We start from the raw sequence: 15435 nt of genomic DNA on the forward strand, positions 1-15435 counted from the left end.
AGTCCCTGGTCTGGGAAAATGCCTGCAATTTTTTTCCAGTGTCTTGCCCTCTCAGTGCCTCTAAGCCTCTCCCCTAGTTAGCTCTAGGGCTTGGGAGAAACAAAATGCTCTCCCTTGGCCTGGGTTGCTTGGCTCGGCAGTGGAAAGTTAAATCACAGAGGAAGGTTCACTGCCTTTCTCATGTACTGGGGCTTCACTCACTTTTACCAACCAGACACCATCATGAGAGTTATTTGCCCATGTTCTCCTCTCTGGGATCTGGGGTGTTCATGATTCCAGTGGATTCTTGTCTTTCTTCTTGAGTTAAAGCTCCCAGAATTGATCCTCATTCCCTATCTTGCTATTTCCAAGTGGGTGATGCATGCTAAGCCAAAGAATTTTTGCAGGGAACAGGGGAAGGTTGGGGTGTGGAGGGGAGTCCCCTGTAGGGGCATGTTACTGTGTGATCACAAAATGATTTATAAATAACAAAATGTTTATAAATAACAAAAATGATTTATCTGTGGTGTTTTTTAAAAGTGAAATAATGAGAATACATTTACTATATTATAGAAATCAGGGAGTGATTGGACTTCAGATGTTCCCTATGCCTTTATGTTCCAGAGGAAGATAAAAGTAATAATTGACTTTAGAGATGTTCATTTAAATAGGCACATTAACATTTCTAGCCACATGTGATGCCAGTAGATTCTATACATATGTGGATTTTTCTCCCAGATGTGATAAATCCATAATGACAGAAATAAATTTATGAAGAATTTCCCTGTTAAATGCTTTTTAATGTAAGTCTATTTGTGTAAGATGGAGGGAGGTGGGGAAACGATATTCCAGCATTTTTAAGTTAGCATCTGCCTAGAATCTCTTTTTCAATCTTTTTACTTTTTACTGTGCCTGTTTTAGGTGAATCTCTTATAAGTGATAAATTTTATTTTAAAACAAGTCTAAGAATCCTTGTTTAGAGATTTTACTCCTTCATATTTGTTGTGATCCACTATGACTCCTATCTTATTGTGCTTTATATTTGTCTCAATTATTTTTAGTTTCCCTCGCTTGATGCCTTTTTCTTTACAGACTATTGTATTCTCTCTACCAAGAGCATGATATTCTATTTTAATTATTTCAGCCCAGAAATGTTAATGTGCCTATTTAAATGAATATCTCTAAAGTCAATTATTACTTTTATCTTCTTCTAGAATATAAAGGCATATGGAACATCTTAACTCCAGACACTCCCTGATTTCCATAATATAGTAAACCTATTCTCATTATTTCACTTTTAAAAAACACCACAGATAAATCATTTTTGTTATTTTACATGGTCAATTGTTACCAATATGATTGCTTGCATTACAGCCCATGCTTCTGTCACTATTTTTTTTTTTGAGGTGTATCCTTTAGAATTTGTCCTAGGGAGGTTATGTTGGTGGTAAATCCTTTTTGTCTAAAAAATTTTTCAATCCTACGTTGCTTATCAGTTTGGGTATGCTTTGAGAGATGTGTCATTTGGCAATTTCACTGTTGGGCAAACATTATAGAGCATACTAAAACCTGGATAGTATAGCCTAATATAGATCTAGGCTGTGGGGTATGGCCTATTGCTCCTAGGCTACAAACCTGTATAGGAGGTTACTGTACTGAACACTGTAGGCAATTTTAGCACAACAATAAATATTTGTGTATCTAAACATGTAGAAAAAGAGCAGCAAAAATAAAGTATAATGGTACACCTGTGTAGGGCACTTGCCATGAATGGAGCTTGCAGGGACTGAAAGTTGATCTGTGTGAGTCAGTGGTGAGTGAATGTGAAGGCCGAGGACATCAGTGTATATCCTACTATAGGTTTTACAAATACTCTACACTTAGGCTACACTAAATTTAGTAAATATTTTTCAATAATTAGCCTCAGTTTTCTGTAATTTTTTATTCTGTAAACTTTTAATTTTTAAAAACTTTTTTTACTGTTTTATAATAACAGCTTAGCCCGGCGCAGTGGCTCAGGTCTGTAATCGCAGCACTTTGGGAGGCCAAGACAGGCGGATCACTTGAGGTCAGGAATTCGAAACCAGCCTGGCCAAAATGGTGAAACCCAGTCTCTAATAAAAAAATACAAAAATTAGCTGGGTGTAGTGGCACATGCCTGTAATCCCAGCTACTTGGGAGGCTGAGGCAGGAGAATTGCTTGAACCCGGGAGGCGGAGGTTGCAGTGAGCCGAGATTGAGCCACTGTACTCCAGCCTGGGTGACAGAGTGAGACCCTGTCTCAAAAAAAAAAGCACTTAGCTTAAAACACCTTATATGGCTATACAAAAGTATTTTCTTTATATCCTTATTCTATAAGCTTTTTTCCCTTTTTTTATTTTACTTTGTAAAATGTTCTTGTTCAAGTCAAAGAAAGAAACACACATTAGCCTAGGCCTACACAGAGTCATGATCATCAATAACTTTATCTTTTACATCCACATTTTGTCCCACTGGAAGGTCTCCAAGGGCAATAACATACATGGATCTTTCATCTCCTGTAACAATGTTTTCTTCTGGAATAGCTCCTGAAGGACCTGCCTAGACTGTTTCACAGTCTACTATTTATAAGTAGGAGTATAGTTTAGCAATAATAGTATAGTAAAAAACTGGTAACTGTCATTTATTGTATAAAGTATTAGGTATTGTACATTATCATATGTGCTATACATTTATACTACTGTCGGTGCAAGTTTGTTTAGACCGACACCATCACAAACAGAAAAGTAATGCATTGTGCTACAACATTATGATGGCTATGCCACCAGGTGACAGGAAGTTGACAGCTCCATTATAATCATGGGATTGCTATTGTAAATGCAGTCCATCATTAACTGAATTTTCATGATATGATGCATGACTGTATTATAAATTTTCCTCATCACTTTTAAGATACAATTTTACTGCTTTGTAGCTTTCATTGTTGTTGTTACTCACTGTCAACTTATATTTCCTAAGTAAGAATGATTTACTCTGTGGCTGCTTTCAAGATCATGCCTTTGTCTTTACAGTTTCATTAGGATGTGTCTTGGTAGCTAATTTCCTTTTGTTGTTGTTTTTTGTTTTTTTTTTGTTTTTTTTGTTTTTCTGTTTTTTGTTTTTTGAGACACAGTCTTGCTCTGTTGCCCAGGCTGGAGTGCAGTGGCATGATCTCGGCTCACTGCAACCTCTGCCTCCCAAGTTCAAGCGATTCTCCTGCCTCAGCCTCCTGAGTAGCTAGGATTACAGGTGCACACCACCATGCCCAGCTGATTTTTGTATTTTTAGTAGAGATGGGGTTTCACCACGTTGGTCAGGCTGGTCTCGAACTCCTGACCTCATGATCCACCCACCTTGGCCTCCCAAAGTGCTGGGATTGCAGGCATGAGCCACTGCGCCCAGCCCGCTAACTTCTATTTTATTATTTGGCTTGGGATTTGGTTAAGCTTCACAAGTCTGGATTGGTGTTTTGTTTTTTTTTTAGTTTTGAGAATTTTTGGTAATTATCTCTTCAGTCTCAAATAGTATTGCCTTTGCCCTGTGTTTTAAGCTGTTTAACTCCAAATAGACATTTAAAGACACTCTTACTCAGTCTTCCATGTTTCCCAAAGTCTCTCTCCTGTTTTGATCTGTCTTTACACTGCAATTTCTTCAGCTCCATCTTCTAGCTCACTATTTCTCTCAGCCTTATTTAATGTTATTTAACCCAATCCCTGAGTTCTAACTTTGGTAATCCTATGGACCAGAAACTACTTAGCCACTTCAGATCTGCTCTACCTCACCTGTGGTTTTTTTTTTTGTTGTTGTTGTTCTGGTTGTTGCTTTAGTTTTATTTGAAGGCATGCAGATGCAAACTAACAGTACCTGAACCCATCCCCAGTGCTTGCCTTTTATGCCAATGCATGAGTTGCTCTAGGCCCACATGCTAGTAGAAACTGAGCATGGTACATGGCATCGTGGTACTTGAAATGACCATGTAGCCTGCCATGATCTCTAGGGGTCTTGTTTAGATTCTCTTACATCCAGGCTCACAAGACTTTGATAGGCCACATTTCATACTGACTCTGGAGAATGTGGACTAGCAACCACAGTTTGCTGATGAGGCAGTGTCAGGAGTTCTCCTTCCAGTATAATTCCTTTTAATAGTCTATAGAGTAGCTCATACAGCTCTCTGGGGACTGGGGTGGGGAGGGATTCCCTGTAACCAGCTAATAGAGGAAAAAAAAACTCACCCTTTGGATAATTTGGCTTGGTATGTGGGTACCAATTACAAATAGACTTCTGCAGCCCTGAGACCCCTGCTCAGAGGTGGCCTGAAAAACAGTGGAGCAGAGAATTGGGTGATATACCTGGTTAAAGACATAAGTGGCCTGAAGTAAGAATATACATGGACTCAAGGGCAGTGGAGAATAACTGGGCCAGATTGATCAGGGACCTAAAAGGAGGACCACTAGAAGTGACTCACCTCCATAAGACTTCTAGCATAGGCTATAAACACTAGAAGAAACATCACATGCACCTACTTCTCATATAATGCTAAGTGATGGCTAAAGGTAGGAAATGGGTGAGCTTGAGAGAATGCTTGGCCATAATGGGGCACTAAAATGCTTAGAAAGTGCGCTGACAGAGGCTCAATGAGAAGTGGAATGCCATTAGTTACAGGGGCCTTCAAACAGAAAATTTCTGGAACCATATATTCTCCCCAAAATCTAAACTGGATGAATCACTCTTCTGAGTCCAGAGAGCAGCCCAGTCCTACTAGTCTGTTGTAAAGGGAGAATCCAGAGCAAGACCATGGAGGGTGCAAAGATCTTGTGTCTCCCATCCCCATCACCAGGATCTTATGGACATTTCATTGGAGTCTTCAGATTCTCTTTTGGAGAACTTGAAGAGGTCAAACTCTGTAAGAGTGAGAATTCACTGAGTTATCAAAGCAGCAACTGAGCTAAGTAAAGAGACCATTTAAATGAAGAGGTGGCAAGTATACTAGATTATGTGAACTCAAGGTTTTCTTTTTCACTGCCCAGTGGAAATAAGGCACTTGAGAGGCTCTGTAATTGGGAAACTGCTGCAGTCATGACTGTGATCTCCTTGAGAATGAACTTGTAGGTCATCTTTAAGTTTGTGAATAGCTTCTGCTATGTATTAATTTGGTACTTGGTTTGGTTTTCTCCTGATATGAGTCAATGAGGTCTTTGGAAATAGCTCCTGACAGCAGCATAATGGCCTGGGCCCATGATGGGTCAAGGGGTCAAGACTTTTCCATAGAATTGAAGACCTGGTAAAGCTTCCAGAGAAAAAGAAAACTCCTGTAAGCAATAGGAGTTGATAGCTTCTAGGATAGAATGATAGAATTTATCGAACCTGAAGAACAGGGAAAAATATTGGAAAAATGAAGAGCCTCGGGAACTTGTGGAACAATATTGAAAAAGCTAATATCTAGGTAACAGGAATTCTAAAGAGAAAGAACAGAGAATTGCAGGTAAAAATATTTGAAGAAATGACAACAGAAACATTTTCAAATTTAGGGAAAGATATAACTGTACAGATCTAAGAAGCTCAGCAAACCCTAAATAGGATAAACACATGAAAATCATGGCAAGGCACATCTTAGACTGGGGAACGCCAAGGATAGATGTAATCATACAGAGAAAAACATGCAATATATAGGGAGCAATAATTAAAACTACTACCAACTTCTAATCAGAAACTATGGGGGCCAAAAGAGAAGTAAACAGTGTTTTAAAGTGTTGAAAAAACAACTGTCAATCCAGAATTCCATATCTAGCAAAATTGTCCTTCCAGATGAAATAAGGACATTACCAGATAAAAGAGAACTGAGAATTTGTTGTCAGCATCCCCATACTATAAGAAATGCCAGCGTAGTTTCTTCAGGTTGAAGGGAAAGAATACCAGAGGAAAACTTGAATCTTCAGGAAGGAATGGCATCATTGGAAATGGTAAGTATATGGGTAATTAGATTGTTATTCTTAATTGACAACTAAATGGTAAAGACCTTTTCCTCTTCCTTTAAGATACACAATACTCTTTAAAGCAAAAATTATTATTGTCCTATGAGGTTTATAATGTATATTGATATTATACACATAATAAATATATCAAAAAAGATAGTGGTAGATAAATGAATACATATTTACAAGATTTCTACATATTTTGTAATGGGCCTAAATATCAACTCTAAGTAGATTGTAAAAAGTTAAGCACAGATAGTGTCACTCCTAGAGCAACCACTTAAAAGTGCAAAAGGATATTGGTAAATTACCAATAGATAAATAGAATTGATTTCATAAAAGCTCTCAAAAAATAACCCTGTTGGGTTAATGCCTAGAGAGACTGATATCACAGGACTTAATTTCTCCCTCCTTTATATTTTCTGCTTGAATACACCTAATGTCATTAAACTAGCTTTAGAATAGTTGTTTTGAGATAGTATAGCAACATAGAACATATAATGGGAGGTAGGGCGGAAGGCTGGACAGGGGCGTGGCCCAGTGGACAAGAGTTTCTCATGTAGGAGGAAGATTGAAATAAACATCCCCATCATCTTTAAAACTCCTTTAATTCACAGAGGTGTGATGTGCTAACACTGAACCCAGAAGACCTGGGTTCTGGGTCAGCCACTTACTGCTTCTGCGACTTTCAATATTGCACTCGACTTTGAGTTTCCTGTCACTACTGTGAAGTTAATTCACATCTCCCCTGGCACTCTGGGTGACTTTGATAATACAGTGATACTATTTAAAATAGCTGACAGTTTATAAAGTACCACCAGGAAGCACTGAGGGGTCATGGAGCAATTTAGAACTAAACAGCAAGTCCATAGGCTAGAACTTTATTTTGACTAATTGAACACTGCCATCTGCTGCACAGATCTGGGAAATAGGAGGTATTAGATTTCCAGGAGGAAGGTGTTTCCTTCAAAATAACAAAAGTTTGCTTGCTTTATTTCTTGTCCCTTTGACCTCACTTTCCAAGTGAAAAGACGCAGAATATAAAAACAAAAAGGTCAAAATAGCCTTGCAGAGGCCACTCTGACTTATATGAAAGGGTAGAGCTCAACTTTACAGGTCAGGTGGGATTTGAATAAGCCTCATGGTGAAAAGAAGGGATGGTATGAGGAGAACTAATAGTAGGATCATAGTTAGCAGCCCTGGGGGAAACACTGGCCTGGAGGCAACCCTGAGCATGCCCACTTCCTAGCTGGGTGCCGAGGCGAAGTCCCGGCATGTATAACATTGGGATAATAATGGTGGAAACCTCTTAGATTGTTGGGAGATTTAGTGAAATGAGCTATGTCTTGTTTTTAGGACAGTACCTGTTAGTACTTAACAAATATTAGCTGCTGCTTTTGAAACTCAGACTGGGAAGAAATAAAGGAAGTTGATTAAAAATTCACTAGCACCTTTGGAATAAACTCCACATTAGCCCCATTCTCCCAAATAGATTTGAAGCAAGGAAGTGAAAGGAGTCAGGTGATGAGATTTTTCAACTTCAGCAGAGTGTAAACACAGATCAACAACAGTAACAACTACCTTTCAATGAGACTTTATGCACCAGGTGTGGCTCTGTGTGTTACATGTGTTAACTCATTTAATTTTTATATCAACTCCATGAGGTGGGAACTTTTAGTATTCTCATTTTATAGATGAGGAAACAGGCACAGAGAGGGGCTAAGTGTATTCAAGGTCATGTGGCCAATGAATGACAGAACTAGCGTGATGGTTAATTGCTACGGCTAAGAGATGCCCAGGTGGCCAGTTGGATGTTACTTGTAAGATCTTTCTGGAAGAGATTAGCATTTGAACCAGCAGACTGAATAAAGATCATCCTCACCAATGTGGGTTGGCATTATCGAATTTCGTGAGAGCTTGAATAGAACAAAAAGAAGAAAAGCAAATTTGCTCTCTTCTTGTACTGGGATATCCACCTTCTTTGCTTAGTGGCTCCTTTGGTTCTTAGGCTTTTGAACCCAGGCTGAATCACCACTGGCTTTCCTAGGGCTCCAGGCTGCAGATGGCAGATCATGGGACTTCTTGGTCTCTACAATTGTGAGTCAATCTCTCATCTTTCTGTATATGTATTCATATATCTAGCATCCATCTATCTATATTCTATTGGTCCTGTTTCTCTCGGGAACCCTAACATGACTAGAATGTAAATGCATGGGATCTCGTCCCACATTTCCACTGCTTAGGGGTTATATGAACCATAGAAAACCAAACCTATCTTCTTTTGGGGATGGCGGGGGTGAGGAGCTATAACTGTATTATTACAGTTCTTTGCTTGTTAAGCTGTATACCAAATTTGTACAGAATCTGGCAACACACAGTGTAGCAGTGAGGATGAGCAGAAAATTCCAAGCTTTTCAGAGAGTGTCAGTCCAATGTGGTGGTAGAAAATAGGACTTAAGTGAGTTTAGTTCAAGATATGCTAAGGATTGGGAAAAGTGGCTTGCCCTCCCTGATGCAAGCATGGGGGTGAGCGCATTACAGATGTCTTCCAGGGCTTCGACCCTTCACCACACCTAGGGATGAGCAGAGGTCACTCTTGTTGCCATTTTGGTTTTGGTGGGTTTTGGCGGGTTTTGGCGGGTTTTGGCCGGCTTCTTTACTGCAAGCTGTTCTATCAGCGAGGTCTTTATGACCTGTATCTTGTGACAACCTCCTATCTTATCCCGTGACTTAGAATGCCTCAACCTTATCCATCTGGAATGCAGCCAGTAGGTCTCAGCCTTATTTTACCCAGCTCCTATTTAAGATGGAGTTGCTCTGGTTTAAATGCCTCTGACAAAACCGTTTGCTTCAATGTTATTTGTTTGCTTCAATGTTGCCTCAAAACTGTGTGTACTGAAGCCACTCCCAGTTTGGGTTTCTAGAGTTAGCAAATAAAAATACAGATGCTCGGCTGGGCGTGGTGGCTCATGCCTATAATCCCAGAACTTTGGGAGGCCAAGGTGGGTGGATCACGAGGTCAGGAGTTTGAAACCAGCCTGACCAACATGGTGAAACTCCGTCTCTACTAAAAATACAAAAATTAGCCAGGCGTGGTGGTGTGTGCCTGTAATCCCAGTTACTCATGAGGCTGAGGCAGGAGAATCGCTTGAACCCAGGAGGCAGAGGTTGCAGTGAGCAGAGATTGCGCCACTGCACTCCAGCCTGGGCAACAGAGTAAGACTCCATCTCCAAAAAAAAAAAAAAAAAAAAAAAAAAAAAAAAAAAAAAGTAGATGCTCAGGTAAGTCTGAACTTCAGATAAAGAATGGAGTTTTCCTTTGATAGACCATGTCCCATGCAATATTTAGAATGTACTTATTTAGAACATACTAGAAAAAGTAGTTGATCTGAAATTCAGATTTAACTGAACATCCTGTGTTTATCTTGCAGCCAGCCCTACCTTGACTACATCCAGTAGGTGTGGTATGTTGCAAAATTGCCAGATGCATTTCTTACTGAGCACAGCCATGTGCCTTGCTTCTCAAACAATGAGGCTCAAGAGGTGACAGCTGACAGTTCAGGCCAGAATGTCTAAATTGCTTGAGAGAGTTCAGAATTAAAGTCGGTTGTGGGGAAAATTCCAAGCTTTTCAGAGAGTGTCAGTCCAATGTGGTGGTAGAAAATAGGACTTAAGTGAGTTTAGTTCAAGATATGCTAAGGATTGGGAAAAGTGGCTTGCCCTCCCTGATGCAAGCATGGGGATGAGCGCATTACAGATGTCTTCCAGGGCTTCGACCCTTCACCACACCTAGGGATTTCCCTCATCCTGCCTTTGTTCTATTCTTACTTGATTTATTCTCACTTTGAGAAGCACATAGTTAAGTAATTTTCTAGGGAACTCAGATATGCCCCGTGGCCAAGATTGACAGACAGTCCAGGAGGCTGTTCTAGCACCAGGCAGCTTAGTGTTAAGAAGAAGGATAGGTTTTAGGAGTAGGAGGGCCTGGTGGCAGCTTAAACTGTCAGAGGCAAGGTGGACACATGTAGAAATAGGCAACAAGGACAGAATCACAACCAGGAGGCCTCACCTGTAGGAATCTATAGTGATAGTTAACACACCGCCAAGTTGTTAGGGGCAAGGTCAATGGACAGCCAACAAAAAGTACTAATAGATTCACTAATACTCAGACTGACATCAGCCTTCCCAGTGAAAAACCATGATTCTTAATTTCCAGAACAGAGCCATTGATTCAACAGAAGCCTGAATCTCCTTGAGGAAAGACCCTGCAATAGGACATCAAGTATATTCACTAGTTAATTTCCCAGTCCTTCCTCATAGGAACTTACAGCCTTTTATCAACATATCTGTACAATGGGGGAAGGGAAATACCCATATCTTTCAAGGGCAGTTGGATATAGGGACTAAGAGGATGCTAAAACCATGAGGGCTAATATGCCTTCATGCTTCCTTCTTAGATTGGAGGAGGTAAATAGAGGCCAGGTGGCAAACAGAGTCCTGGCCTAAATCCATTTCACAGGGCGTCAGTGTGTTCATGGACTCACCTGTGTTGATTTTCCTGATCCCTGAGTGCATTGATCAGGATGGATATACCTAGTAACTGGCAGAACACTCACACTAAGTCCTTGAACTGTGGAGTACACCTATGTAATCAGAACAGCTACGTGGAACCCTCTGAAGTTACCCAACCTCCAGGCCAAGACAGTAAATATACATCAATATATTATGTAGGGTGGAATGGCAAGGAGTGTCATTGGAGTGCTGAGCTCAAAGATTTTAAGGAGATAAGGTTGCTGTTCCCCGTTACATCTCCATTTCATTTGCCAGTCTGGCTCCTGAAAAAAACCACATGGCTCACGATTGATATAACTACTGTCAACTCCATCACGTGGTAGCCTAATTATAACTATTGTGGTTTCATAATTATCAGATAATTATGACATAGCTTTTGCTACCTAGTATGTGGTCATTGATTTGGTGAATGCGTTCTTTTCAATCCCATCAGAAGGGAGGATCAAAAGCTTTTGCATCTGCCTGGGATAGACAGTGGTACACAATCGGGGTCTTGTCCCAGGAAATTGTACTCTAATGCTTTTTCCAGCAATATACTTTAATGGCTGTTCTATCATCTGGATATGACACAGACTATTATGCTGATCCATTATATTGATGATATCATGAAGATATGAGGTAAAAAGGAGAAAACAGTGAAGAATGGTGGAAGCCTTAAGGTATATGTGCACCAGTGGGCAGAAGAAATCCCTACAGAATTTCAGCAGCCGGCCAAAATGGTGAGTTTTTAGGGGAACAGTGGTTATTGCATCTTACATGTACTTCCTATTGTAAATCAAAGGAACTAGGAAGCCCTTCTGATTTGGAAATATCATATATCATGCTTGGGAATATTGCTGTCACCCACTAACTGGGTTGACTCTGAAGGCTGCCAGTTTTGCGGAGCCAAGAACAAGAAAGCAATGTGCAGCAGATTAAGCTATAGCTCCAAGTGGCTCTGCCACACGACTGGAAAATCTCATGGTGCTACAGCAGGATCAGCATGCATGACCTGTGGGTCAGCTGCCCATTTTTGTAAATAAAGAACTATTTTGTTCTCTAGGTTTTCCTATCTTTGTTCTAGGGCAATGGGTCTCAAATTTCAGTGTGTGTATGCATATGTACGTGTGTGTATTCCTCCTACTCAGAGGGCCTACAAATGCATGAATGGGGAAAAATGAAAGCCCTTTTTTTTTTTAACAATAGAGTAACACCTAATATAGAAGGAATAGAGTTCAAATTCAGCAGTGGTTGCTGGGAATTAAAGTTTGAGATAGTTACACAGTCTCAAAGTGTCCCCTATAAGTTCCTATTGATTATAAAGGGAAAAATAGTAGCTTTAAAAGTGGAGCAACCTAACAGACACCACCTAAACAAATGATCAGCCCACCTGGTGCCCTTATCTTGGTTTCTAAATGTCATTCCCAACTGAAAGGAAGCCTGTAAACTTGGAGAAGAGGTCAATTTCAGGATGAAGACAGGGACAAGATGAGCCTGAGGCCACTTGTCCAGAAAGTAATGAAGTGCTCAAAGAACGACAGGGATATATCAAAAGCACATGCAGGTCATCTTGAGGAAGGTCCCATTGGACAAATCTCTGAACATTTTAATGGCAAAATAAATGATGGCAGTAATGAATAACAGGTGTCTCATGGTTTTTGCGGGGTATTGGTTCTATGACTCCCCATGGATGCCAAAATCCCCCAGATGCCTAAGTCCCCCAGTAGGCCCTCTGTATCCTTGGGTTCCACATCTGTGGACTCAGCCAACCACAGATCAAGTTCCCATGGATATAGAGGACACACTGGGTACATGTTTAAAAAAAAAACACGAATCCATGCATTTCTCTATAAATAATTGAGTAAATACATAAATGGGGAGAAGCTTTTTTTTTTTTTAACAATAGAATAACACCTAAATACAGAAGAAAGGATGGAGTTCAAAAATGAGCATTGGATGCTGTGGACAGAAGTTTGAGATAGTTACACAGTCTCAAAGTGCCCCTTACAAATTGCCTGTTGATTACAACAGGAAAATAGTAACTTTAAAATGGAGAAACCTAAAACACCACCTAAACAAACGATCACAGTTAACGCTAGCAATTTTGGAACAAATGAATGTCATGAGCCTTCTGATCAGAGGCACCAAGAAGGACACACCATCACTTCTGGTAGAATCCTGCCATACATAACCTGAATCAAATCATGAAGAAAACTCAGACAAACCCAAGTGTCCTTTGTTTTTTTTTGTTTTTTTTTTTTTATACTTTGACAGATTTTCTACCAAATAAAAAAAGGTGACCTTCACTCTTCAAAATTATCAAAAGAAGAATGAGGAACTGTTCCAGATTAAAGACATGACAACCAAACAACGTGATTCTGTACTGGATCCTTCACTGAGCTGGGGGTAAGGGGAGCTAGAGCAGACATTGAGACAATTGATGGACATTTGATTAAAAACTATGAATTAGATAATATCAGTATTAACTTCCCTGGGTTTCCTAATTGTACTGTGGTTATATAAGAGAACATTCCTATTCTTCGGTAAAAGGACACCGAGCCATAATTCATTTTCCAAGCTTTCATTAGGAATTGAGTTCTCGACCACCTGGAACATTTTCCCTGGGCATTTGTGGGTGTTTATCTTAGAGGATATGCTGCTTTTGGTGGGTTTGTGGCTTAGGAAAGAACCCACCTGGAACCAGGTCTCCTGGGGCCATAACGCCCTGCTCTGCTTAGCATCCTGTAGCCAGGCTGGATTCTCAACTCTTTGTAAATCTCAGTCATCTTTCTCTGCTACTCTCATTTCCAAAGTGGAGATAAATAATAGCACCCACTGGTCGGGCGCGGTGGCTCACGCCTGTAATAATCCCAGCACTTTGGGAGGCCGAGGCGGGCGGATCACCTGAGGTCAAGAGTTCGAGACCAGCCTGGCCAACATAGTGAAACCCCGTCTCTACTAAAAATACAAAAGTTAGCCGGGCGTGGTGGCAGGCACCTGTAATCCCAGCTACTCTGGAGCCTGAGGCAGGAGAATCGCTTGAACCCTGGAGGCGGAGGTTGCAGTGAGCGGAGATCGCGCCATTGTACTCCAGCCTGGGGGACAAGAGCGAGACTTCGTGGAAAACAAACAAAAACAAAAACAAAAAACACCAAAAAACAGAACCCACTACAGAGTTTTGCTCTAAGGATGAAATGAGATGAATAAATGTAATGCAAGTGGAAAAAAAAAAAAGGAGCTGGGCGTGGGCGGGGCCGCAGGGCCCGGGAGCTGGGTGTGGGTGGGGCGGGAGTGCGTGCCTTGCCTTGCGTGCCAGGCTATGGAGGGAGGCGTGGCAGATGTGGGGCGGAGCCTGAGCGTGCCTGCGTGGCACCACTCGGGGAAGCGGAGGCTATTCCCTGGAGGAAGGATGGGAGACTATCAGGCTGTGGAGGAGACTGCCTTTATTGTTGAAGTGAGCAACACTGTAAAAGAGGCTATAGAAAGTGTAATTGGGGCTGGGCGCGGTGGCTCACGCCTGTAATCCCAGCACTTTGGGAGGCCAAGGCAGGCGGATCACAAGGTCAGGAGTTCAAGACCAGCCTGGCCAACACGGTGAAATCCCATCTCCACTGAAAATACAAAAATTAGCCAGGCGTGGTGGTGGGCACTTGTAGTCCCAGCTACTCGTCGGGAGGCTGAGGCAGGAGAATCGCTTGAACCTGGGAGGCGGAGGTTGCAGTGAGCCGAGATTGCGCCATTGCACTCCAGCCTGGGTGACAGAGCAAGACTGTCTCAAAAAAAAAAAAAAAAAAAAAAAAAATCGCAGTTGGTGGTAATGCTTATCAACACAGCAAAGTGAACCAGTGGACCACAAATGTAGAACAAACTTTAAGCCAACTCCCCAAGCTGGGAAAACCATTTAAATACATTGTGACCTGTGTAATTATTCAAAAGAACGGAGCTGGATCATACATGGCAAGTTCCTGCTTTTGGGACAGCTCTACTGACGGGAGCTACACTGTGCGATGGGAGAATAAGACCATGTACTGCATTGTCGGCGCCTTCGGACTGTCTATTTGACCTCCCAGTCCATCCTATAACCTTTCTGCTTTTGTCTCTAGTTCATCTTCTAACCACTAGCCATGAATTCAATGAACTCCTTTCTCATTTTCTTTAAGTGTGTTTTGTGGCACTCTGAAAAACCAGATGACTGCACTGTGATGTGAACTGCACTGAAGTCAGATGAGTATCCCTGTAGGTCACCTGCAGCCTGCATTGCCACTTGTCTTAACTCTGAATATTTCTTTTCAAAGGTGCTAAAATCTGAAATCTGCTAGTGTGAAACATGCTCTACTCTCTGAAATCGTTCAAATACATGAATTTTCCATACTTTATACTTTTGTTAGAATAAATTGTTCAAATCTTTAAAAAATGAGTTGATTACTTTTAGGTTCTTTCAGCAAAAGCTGTCCAGATCGGGCTGTTGCCACACTCCAAAGGACTCTGACATCACACCCTTCCCTGACTTCTGCCCCTGCCTTGTTCTCTTTCTCAGTTTTGTTTGGGAGCACATCTTTAATAAACAACTTGCACATCCTCATCACAGGCTCTCATTCTGGAAACCCAAACCAAGATCTTCCTAAGCTTATTCTACCCTAGGTGCTCAGCAGATGTGGATTCTCATACCTAAGGCCCTCTCTCCTCCTCCTGGACATGGTGAGGAGTAGAGGGTAGGAAGGCAACAGAGCCCTGGATTTCTGTGCAGTTCCCAACTGCCAACATTGTCAAGTCCACATCTCATATTCCCTGTGCTTGTAAGTGACAGTTTAATATCAATTTTATTTTTCAAGGAATAACTGTTTACAAGAGGTGGAACCCTTGCCGGTCAAAAAATGTATAGGTGATCTTAGGGCAAGAAACCTTTCTTTCAGGC

The 15435-nt window shown here is 41.2% G+C and overlaps 1 long non-coding RNA gene and 1 pseudogene across 1 annotated transcript, besides 1 other annotated feature; both read left to right on the forward strand.

Moving 5' to 3' along the window:
* The first annotated feature begins 6823 nt into the window (after positions 1–6823).
* Positions 6824–12888, forward strand: LOC107986260 (uncharacterized). The gene is made up of 3 exons (XR_001741594.2): positions 6824–8066; positions 11114–11260; positions 12795–12888. It is a non-coding gene; the product is annotated as an uncharacterized LOC107986260 (long non-coding RNA).
* Positions 13861–14361: an enhancer, noted in NCBI's record as "H3K4me1 hESC enhancer chr4:10412553-10413053 (GRCh37/hg19 assembly coordinates)". NCBI's record gives its function as "activates a minimal SCP1, AML or CMV promoter by ChIP-STARR-seq in naive H9 embryonic stem cells {active_cell/tissue: H9 hESC(naive)}" and the evidence as "EXISTENCE:reporter gene assay evidence [ECO:0000049][PMID:30033119]".
* Positions 13895–14926, forward strand: LOC100287951 (dynein light chain Tctex-type 1 pseudogene; annotated as a pseudogene).

This window comes from Homo sapiens, chromosome 4 (genome assembly GCF_000001405.40).
Source record: "Homo sapiens chromosome 4, GRCh38.p14 Primary Assembly".
Taxonomy (NCBI): domain Eukaryota; kingdom Metazoa; phylum Chordata; class Mammalia; order Primates; family Hominidae; genus Homo; species Homo sapiens.